The 10,545-nt window shown below is 44.8% G+C and overlaps 1 non-coding gene and 2 pseudogenes across 1 annotated transcript; 1 reads left to right on the top strand and 2 right to left on the bottom strand.

The window, feature by feature from the left end:
* Positions 2,702–2,960, bottom strand: RNU7-15P (RNA, U7 small nuclear 15 pseudogene; annotated as a pseudogene).
* Positions 2,801–2,860, bottom strand: LOC124901190 (U7 small nuclear RNA). The gene has a single exon (XR_007059142.1). It is a non-coding gene; the product is annotated as a U7 small nuclear RNA (small nuclear RNA).
* RNA5SP192 (RNA, 5S ribosomal pseudogene 192) lies at positions 10,130–10,249 on the top strand (annotated as a pseudogene).

Below are 10,545 nucleotides of genomic sequence, written 5' to 3' on the forward strand. Positions count from 1 at the left end.
CTCCTCAGGCCCAGGAATGGCCAGACTGTCTCTCTTGTGTCCAGATCATAAAATGGGATGAGATAGTCTCTAAAAAGCCCCTCTCCTAAAACTGTCATTCTGTTTGAGCTAAACCTCCCAGATTTCTGCTTGCTGAGGAGTCACCCAGAATATTCAATGGAAGAAAAATCCAATTTGTGAGCTCTGGACCCCAGGCTGCACACAGAAGCTGCGTGATGGACTTGGTACAGAATTAGGTCACAGCATGCTATGTGCATGTGGATGAATTTTGGCTGGTGGCTCAGGAGACTGAGAATGCATGCCCTAAACATTCACCTAGAAAACTTTCCTGATTTTAACTGTGGTGTATCTCGTCAGTTACTCACATAGAGGACACTTTGTTCTAAAACCCGGGGGTATGCCCAGCATTCATCACAGTCTGGGCACTGTGTTTGTGGTCACATTTACCCCTGGCAGGGTCCTTAGGTCCTAGTTAGCAGCTTTTTCTACTTCAAGGGAAGCAGCAAGAAAAGTAAAAGACAAAACAAAAAACAACATAGCAAGTTACTTTTGACTTTCCTAGCAAATCACCTAGCAAGATGAAAGGGGAATGTGTCTCTTAACTGGATGACACCAAATGAATTATGGGGCAAAGGGCAACTGACAGCAACTGCCTAGGAGTGGCAGAGACAGATTTATAGACAGGCTCATTGCCCACCCTTGATTTCTCAAAATGAAACAGGGAGAGAAAGGTGTTCTTCAATTTGGTGTATCCCAGAGATAGAAAATCAGTGAAGTAGGAAAGAGTGTGAGTTTCAAAGTATGGTGACTTCAGTTTGAATACCAGTAGCTCTATGAACCTGGAGATGTCCCCACCTTCCTGAGCCTCCATTTCCTCATGTGTAAAACAAGGATACTACATACCTGCCAGATAAAGATTAAAGGAGATTTGATCACATAGAGTAGTGCCAGGCTCACAGTGGGCCACCAATAAGTGATGTTAGTTATCATTATTCCTCACTTGAGTTTCTCCTGAGAAATACAATCTCAACTAAACCCCAGTCCCAATTTTCTCTCTAAGGACTGGTTTATCCACCTGGGGTCTCCCATAGGTGTTGCTCATGCTGCTGGTAGTTTCTCTCCTAAGCTTCACTCACCATTCCGGCAAACAGGGCTGTAAACACTTTGTTCATATTGTGTAAGTCTTGGGGAGACAGAACTCCCCCTCCTGCTTTGAAAGCCAGCCCAGTCACTGTACAGGCCTGAGACCTGGACTTAATCAATTTGATGCTTCTTCCAGAAGCTGGGACTCTTACGTGAGTAAAAGAGAGACACTGGGACAGGTGAGAAATGATCACGAGTCAGGAGGCGCAAGGACAGTAGCAATCCCGGCCTGTCCCCTGCTCTTGCTGCGCAGCCTCCTTTGTTCTTGTTTATTTTCACAGCCTGGTTCTCCAGCCTTCTAGTCAATTCTGTGAACCACTAGGTCTCCTCCCAATACATTCCTTTTTTGAATGAGTCAGGCAGAGCTGCTTGCTATTGTTTGAAACGAAGAAGTTTCTAATGTGGAGCCAAGACACCTTTTTCATACTGCCAGGCAAGAGGAAAATCCAGCCTGTTGAGATTTGGGTGTTGAGAGCTGCCCTTTCCCTGGGAAAAGCAACTACTAGCAAAGAGGGCAAGAGAGATTTCCATAGCTGCCCCAGGGTTCAGGGGAGGCAGTGTCTCTGCCCTTTGATGTTGCTGGAAATCCTCTAACAACGCTTACACAATCTCAAAACTAGCAACTCAGGAAACAGGATAAAGCAGTGCAAGAGAAATACAAGGCAGGCAAGTTCCTGGTTCAAAGTCATAAACATTTGCCATAAAAATGAGAACAAGATTTCCCTTGATAAACAAAACAAAGGCAAGAAAATGTGGAGATTGGTTGCTTTTTCCTCTTGCTGTACTAAGGAGGGTTGACCTTGATTCTACCTTTTCTTTGCTCGACAGCATAGGCAAAAAGACTAAGCTGAAGTCAGGCCAGGGAGGAGACATAGGCGTCCATCCCATAGTTACCCCAACAGGGGACTGGGTGTGTCCTGAAGTTTCCTTTTTTCTTCCTTTCCCCACTAGCAAATGTCCCTGATAAGAACCCATCATGATGCTGAGTTACATGACCCCTGAGCCAAGTATCACCTCATCAGTGAAGCCTTCTTTGATATCCCCAGGTAGAGTTCGTTGTTCCCAGCCCTACATAATACTGCATTGGAGAGTATGTGGTCATTTAGTTGTCTGTCTGCCTCACTAGACCTATAGTGAGTGCTTTGATGGAAAGGACTATGCCTGGCAGTACCAGGCTCAGAAGTAATCTCAGAGTTTGTTGAATAAAATGAATGTGGGAGACCTGACTTCATGTGAACAGCTGTGTCATTCCTCTATTCTGTGAGTTCACAGTTGATAGCAACATGCCAAGAATGGCCTTGGCCTCCAGGCCCCGTATGTGTGTTGGTGGGGGGTATGGGAGTGGGAGAGTCCATGCAAACAGCATTTAAGGCACCAAATGGCCCTCCTAGGGAAGTGATTAAATTGAATAAAAGGACTTATTTAACTAGCAAGCAATTATTGAGTGTTCATGTACCAGTTGGCCCATACTTAAGGTAAGAGGCAGTGAACACATGTCCTAGGAGCCAGAAAGGAAATCAGCAGTACTCCTTCCACCAAGAGCCATTGCTGACAGCCCCTCTCTGCCCTGGCATCAGCCAGGGCCTGATGGCTCTGTCCATGAGCAGACTCATTGTCAGCCCTCACTTGGGGAACTGACTTTTTTGTTTAACTTTTTTGGGGCTTTCTGGCAAAAACCAGAAAGCCTGCTAGACAAATTCTAAGAGCTGTAACACTGGGAACCAACTTTTTTTTTTTTTTTTGAGACAGAGTCTTGCCCCGTTGCCCAGCCTGGAGTGCAGTGGCGAAATCTCAGCTCACTGCAACCTCCGCTTACTGGATTCAAGTGATTCTCCTGCCTCAGGCTTCCAAGTGGCTGGGATTACAGGCATGAGTCACCATGCCCGGCTAATTTTTTGTACTTTTGGTAGAGACAAGGTTTCACCATGTTGGTCCCAAACTCCTGACCTCAAGTGATCCACCCTCCTTGAACCAACTTCTAAAAAAACATTAGACCCTGGGGCCAGTCATTTCCTTCAAGTCACCACACTTCCTATATCACTCTCTCCTCTTGGTGGTTTTGACAAAAAGATGTGACTTGCCATACCCTAAGAAGCTGCTTTCTTTTCAGAGCAGATTGCTTTGGTCACTCACTTGGGCACAGCAATGAGAGGTCTAGGGAGGTGCTGCCATGAATGGAAGCAAGGACTTTCAAGAGAGTTCATTTGGACCCCATTCTTTTCTTTTTTTTTTTTTTTGGCAGAGTTTCACTCTTGTCGCCCAGGTTGGAGTACAGTGGCGCAATCTCAGCTCACTGCAACATTTGCCTCCCGGGTTCAAGTGATTCTTCCGCCTCAGCTTCCGGAGTAGCTGAGATTACAGGCATGCACCACCACGCCACGCTGATTTTAGTATTTTTAGTGGAGACGGGTTTTCACCATGTTGGCCAGGTTGGTCTCGAACTCCTGACCTCAGGTGATCCACCCACCTCAGCCTCTCAAAGTGCTGGGATTACAGGCATGACCCACCGTGCCCGGCCTAGATCCTCTTTCTTGGTTCTTGGGATTGGATTAATAACCTTTATTAGTGATGGTGGTAGGTCCTTGTTTATAATTATTCTGTGAACAAGCGTTCTTTTCGAAAACTTTATAAGTGCCTGAAAAGGATTAAAAATAGACTGGGCACAGTGGCTCACGCCTATAATCGCAGCACTTTGGGAGGCCGAGGTGGGCGGATCACCTGAGGTCAGGAGTTTGAGACCAGCCTGACCAACATGGAGAAACCCCGTCTCTACTAAAAATACAAAATTAGCTGGGCATGGTGGTGCATGCCTATAATCCCAGCTACTCGGGAGGCTGAGGCAGAAGAATCGCTTGAAACCAGGAGGCGGAGGTTGCAGTGAGCCAAGATCTCACCATTGCACTCCAGCCTGGGCAACAAGAGTGAAACTCCGTCTCAATAATAATAATAATAATAATAATAATAATAATAATAATAAAGCCAAACTGCAACTCTCTGGTCTTCCTGAAATAGTGAATGCTTTCCCTAAATTAGATTTACCTTAGTATGCTTAATAGCTTACAATGCACCAAATAAAAAGACAAACAATTCAATTTTTAAAAATAGACTAAGGATTTGAACAGGAAGAATTTGAATTTCTCGCAAGATCTACAAATAGCCAATAAGCACTAAAAAAGGTGCTCAACCTCAAATTCAACTCAAAAGCACAATTAGGTACCACTTCATACCCACTAGAATGGCTATAAGACAAAAAGTCAGATAGTAAGTATTGAGGAGGATATAAAGGAAACCTCACGCACTGCTGCTGGGAGTGTAAAATGATACAACTGACTTGGAAAACTGTTTCTTAGTTCACCAAATGATTAAACAGAAAGTTACCATATGACCCAGCAATTCCACTCTTTGGTCTATCCCCAAGAGAACTGAAAACATATGTTCATGTCAAAACCTGTACGTATGTTTATATCAGCATGATTCATAATAGACAAAAAGTGGAAACGACCTAAATGGCCACCAACAGATTAATGAATAAATAAAATCTGGTATATCTATACAATGGAATATTATTCAGCCATAAAAAGAAATGAAGTGCTGACATGTACTACAACGTGTGGACCTCGAGAACATTATGCTAAGTGAAAGAAAACGGACAAAACCCCACGTATTATTCCATGTATATGAAATGTCCAGAATGGGCAAATCCACAGAGAAAGAAGGGATGAGAAGTGACTATTAAATGGTACGAGGCCTCTTTGGGTGATGACAGAAATGTTCATCTCTAGGCCCCATCTCTAGATAGTGGGATAATTATAAAATCTTGTGACTAGGCTGGGTGTGGTGGCTTAAGCCTGAAATCCCAGCACTTTGGGAGGCTGAGGCATGAAGACTGCTTGAGCACAGGAGTTTGAGACCAGCCTGGGCAACATAATGAGATGCTGTCCCTATTAAAAAAAATTTTTTTTAATCTTGTGACTATACTAAAGATAACTGAATTTACATTTTTTTTTGAGAGAGAGTTTCACCCTGTTGCCCAGGCTGGAGTGCAGTGGCACGGTCTCGGCTCACTGCAGCCTCTCCCTCCCAGGTTCAAGCGATTCTCCTCCCTCAGCCTCTGGAGTAGCTGGGATGACAGGTGCCTGCCACCATGCCCAGTTAATTTTTTCGTATTTTTAGTAGAGACTGGGTTTCACCATGCTGGCCAGGCTGGTCTTGAACTCCTGGCTTCAAGTGATGCGCCAGCCTCAGCCTCCCAAAGCGCCGGGATTACAGGTATGAGCCACCGTGCAGGGCCTACACTTTTTGTTTTTAGTTGGAGTTTTGCTCTTGTTGCCCAGGCTGGAGTGCAGTGGCGCGATCTCAGCTCACTGAAACCGCCTCTCGGGTTCAAGCAATTCAATTCAAGCAATACATATACACACACACACACACACAAATATATGTATGTATACACGCATACATACACACACACACACACACTTAAGAGTTGTCATTGACATTGGCCTATTCTTTATTTTCTTGGAGACAGAGTCTCACTCTGTCGCACAGGCTGGTGCAGTGGTGCGATCTCAGCTCACTACAACCTCCGCCTCCTGGGTTCAAGTAATTCTCGTGCCTCAGCCTCCCAAGAAGCCAGGATTACAGGCACATGCCACCACACCTGGCTAATTTTTGTATTTTTAGCAGAGATGGGATTCTGCCATGTTAACCAGGCTAGTCTCGAACTCCTGGCCTCAAGCAATCCACCCAACTCAGAGTGGTGGAATTACAGGCGTGAGCCACCACACCCGGCCTGACATTGGCCCATTCATGCTCAAGGTCTTCACATACAAAGCAAGAGATGGCTTCTAAGGGTTCTAACCACTCTGATGTTTTAAGCATGTGTCTACAAATGCAGAAAGCAAGCTCAAGTACTCTTGCACTAAATTACTAATTCAGAGCACCTTCTGCCCATAGACCTAAAGGTATCTTGCAAGCCAGGTGATCTCAGGTTTATTTGTGGGCCACAGGCTCAGATGTTAATGTGCCTGCAGATCACATGACTTTTTAAAAATTACCATTGTGTGTAAATTAGTCTACTAATCATTAAAATTAAGAATCTTGGCCGGGCGCTGTGGCTCACACCTGTAATCCCAGCACTTTGGGAGGCCAAGGCGGGAGGATCACCTGAGGTCAGGAGTCCAAGACCAGCCTGGCCAACATGATGAAACCCCGTCTCTACTAAAAATTCAAAAATTAGCCGGGCGTCGGGGTGGGCTCCTGTAATCCCAGCTACTCAGGAGGCTGAGGCAGGAGAATCGCTTGAAACCAGGAGGTGGAGGCTGCAGTAAGCCAAGACTGTACCATTGCACTCCAGCCTGGACACCCAAGAGCGAAACTCCGTCTCAAAAAAGAAAAAAAAAAAGAATCTTTAGCAGTAATACAAAAGGAGTCTGTTCAAAAGTATATAGCCTAGTGCTACCTGTTAACCAACTCTAATCTGATTTGATCATATCATAATGAAAATATTTACATTATCCTCAAAACCTATCAGGTCAAGGCATGTCCCAATCCTGACACCCTGTTTGTATTTACATGGTAGTTCTCAGCTTCATGTTAGCAGTTTCATGAAACAATAAGAACTTTGGCAGAATTAGGTCGAGGTCCTCTTGGTGGGCAGAGTAACATCTCCCTGTATTCTATCAGTTCCTTTGACTTGGATAGGACAGATATTAGACAGCTCTTGAGGACTGCATTCCAAAGGTAGCTGCAGAAAATCAACACATTTCACAGGTGTCTCAGACTGTGCCTCTCTCCCAAATTGTGCCCATTTTCACCAGGGAGAGCTGCAGTTTATCTTATACCATTCATGATTCCACCATGCTTAGGCAGTTCAGTAATGGGAAAGAAGTATATTTGGGTTCGAGACCAGAAAGCTATTTGGGCATGGTGGCATGTGCCTGTTAGGCCCAGCTACTAAGGAGCCCAAGGCAGAAGGATCACTTGAGCCCAGGACTTTAAGACCAGGCTGGACAACACAAGAAGATTCTCTTTCTCTTTAAAAAGAGAGACAGACAGACAGACAGACAGACAGACAGAGAGAGAGACAGAGAAAGCCACTGCATAGGAGGAGGAAATATATTAAATAATAGGCTGGGCACAGTGGCTCATGCCTATAATCGCAGCATTTTGGGAGGCCAAGGTGGGTGGATTACTTGAGCTCAGGGGTTTGAGACCAGCCTGGGCAACATAGCAAGACCTCGCCTCAACTTTAAAAAAAACAAAAAAAATCAGCTGGGCATGGTGGTGCATGCCTATAGTCCCAGCTACTTGGGAAGCTGAAGCGGGAGGATTGCTTGAGCTCAAGAGATCAAGGCTGCAGTGAGCTGTGATCATGCCACTTCGCTCCAGCTTGGGAGACAGAATGAGACTCTGTCTCAAAAAAAAAAAAAGGATAATAAATATATAATGTGTATACATTAGAAGTATCATGAGCCCTACCTTGCAGCAGTATCAGGCAGAGTTTACAATAAAATCGTATGAGGAAGGGACTGTTGCACTGTTCAATAGAAATATGAGCCATATATGTAGTTTAAAGTCAGTTAATAGACATATTTAAAAAGTAGGCCGGGTACAGTGGCTCACGCCTGTAATCCCAGCACTTTGAGAGGCCGAGGCAGGTGGGACACCTGAGGTCAGGAGTTTGAGACCAACCTGGCCGACATGGTGAAACCCCATCTCTACTAAGAATACAAAAAAAATTAGCTGGGCATGATGGCAGATGCCTGTAACCCCAGCTACTCGGGGGGCTGAGGCAGGAGAATTGCTTGAACCCAGAAGGCAGAGGTTGCAGTGAGATCACGCCACTGCACTCCAGCCTGGGCAACAGAGCTAGACCCCATCTTTAAAAAAATAGTAAAAAGGGCTGGGCACGGTGGCTCATGCCTGTAACCCCAGCACTTTGGGAGGCTGAGGCTGGCGCATCACTTGAAGCCAGGAGTTCAAGACCAGCCTGGCCAGCATGGTGAAACCCAGTCTCTACTAAAAATACAAAAAAATTAGCAGGGCGTGGTGGCTCATGCCTACAATACCAACTACTTGGGAGGCTGAGATGGGAGAATCACTTGAACTCAGAAGGCAAAAGTTGCAGTGAGCCAAGATTGTGCCACTGCACTCCAGCCTGAGCAACAGAGAGACACCCTGTCTCCAAATAAATACATACATAAACGAATAAGTAAATAAAGTAGGCCAGGAATGGTGGCTCACATCTATAATCCTAGCACTTTGGGAGGCCAAGGTAGGCGGATCACCTGAGGTCAGCAGTTCAAGACCAGCCTGGCCAACATGGTGAAACCCCATCTCTACTAAAAATAGAAAAAATTAGTCAGACGTGGTGGTGGATGTTTGTGACCCCAGCTACTCAGGAGGCTGAGGCAAGAGAATTGCTTCAACCCGCGAGGTGGAGGTTGCAGTGAGCCAAGATTGTGCCACTGCACTCCAGCCTGGACAACAGAGTAAGATGCTGTCTCAAAACTAAATAGTAAAAAGAAACAGGGGAAACTAATTTATATATTAAATATATGTAACTATTTAATATATCCAAATAGACCCAATATATCAAAATATTATTTCACCATGTAATTGATAGAGATATTTTAATTTTTTGAGATAGAGTCTCGCTATGTCACCTAGAGTTCAGTGGTGAAAACACAGCTCACTACAGGCTCATGCCACCACACCTGGTTAATTTTTATTTTTATTTTTTTAGAGACAGGGTCTCACTATATTGCCCAGGGTGGTCTTGAACTCTTGGGCTCCAGCCATCCTCCTGCCTCAGCTTCCCAAAGTGCTGGGATTACAGGCGTAAGCCACCACGCCCAGCCTACATTATTTTCTTCATATTTCATCAGTCTTTTGCCACAAAGTAATTTTTATTATGCCACTGTGCAGGTAAGGAAACTAAGACTTAGAGAGGTCAAGTTCAGCATCTCAGAACTAATACGTGGTAGAGCCTGGACTCAGATCCAGATATCTCTGACTCCAAAATCCTTGCTTGCTCATAAACTCCCATTATACTTTTTTTTTTTGAGAGAGGGTCTTGCTTTGTCACCCAGCTTGGAGTACAGTGGGGCAATGATGGCTCATTGCAGTCCCAACCTTCTGGGCTCAAGCAATCCTCCCATCTCAGCCACCCAAGTAGCTGGGACTACAGGCACACTCCACCATGCCCAGCTAATTTTTGTATTTTTTGTAGAGACATGGTTTCACCATATTGCCCAGGCTGGTCTCCAACTCCTGGGCTCAAGCAATGCATCCGTCTTGGTGTCCCAAAATGTATCAACAAGACAAAAACCCATATGAATCTCTTGTCAAGCATTTAAAACACTCTTCCTTGGCAGGGAACAGTGGCTCATGCCTGTAATCCCAACACTTTGGGAGGCCGAAGTGGGCAGATCACAAGGTCAGGTGTTTGAGACCAGCCTGATCAACATGGTGAAACCCTGTCTCTACTTAAAAAAAAAAAAAAAAAAAAATTAGCCGGGTGTGGTGGCACATGCCTGTAGTCCCAGCTACTCAGGAGGCTGAGGCAGGAGAATCGCTTGAACCTAGGAGACGGAGGTTGCAGTGAGCCAAGATCATGCCACTGCACTCCAGTCTGGGCGACAGAGACTCCGTCTCAAAAAATAAATAAATAAATAAATAAATAAACATTAAAAATTAAAAAAACACGGTTCCTCATGACGAAACCAGTAGCTTGTTGTGGGCTTACTTTGGTACGGGATTTCTCAAAACAGTTGGACACACTACCAAGGCTGATGTCTCTGTTGTGACAATTTCACTCCGGCACAGCATTTGTGGGGCATTCTTTGGAAAGAGATGGGACTGCCAAGGCTTTTACGAAAAAACCCTGTCTTCCATGAAAATTCTCATATGTGGCAGTGAGCAGATATGTTCACAGAGCATCTGAATTCATGCACAGACAGATGCTCTGCATAGAAATTGTGACAAAGTCTACAGCCATACTACCCTGAACACGCCCGATCTCATCTGATCTCAGAAACTAAGCAGAGTCGGGCCTGGTTAGTACTTGGATGGGAGAAATTATGAATAAACTTCACAATTGCAGAACATAAAGATCTTTTATTTGCAGGGGTCGGAGATTAAAATTTGAATGTGTGAAACTGCCAATAGTTTGGTAAATACATCAGCCCACCAGCAGCCTTCAAAGGGAATTGAAACCATTTGTAAAAATCAGTGAGGTGGGCAATGTGTGGGCATGTGGGTTTTCCATGGAGGGAATAGATTTATGCTATATGCATAAATCTTTGATAAAAGACTTTAACATCTTTGAAAACTGGTAATATTTTATAGTTACAGCTCATCTCAATTTTGACTACCCACATTTTAAATGCTCAGTAGCTACAC

This window comes from Homo sapiens, chromosome 5 (genome assembly GCF_000001405.40).
Source record: "Homo sapiens chromosome 5, GRCh38.p14 Primary Assembly".
NCBI classification, from domain to species: Eukaryota; Metazoa; Chordata; class Mammalia; order Primates; family Hominidae; genus Homo; species Homo sapiens.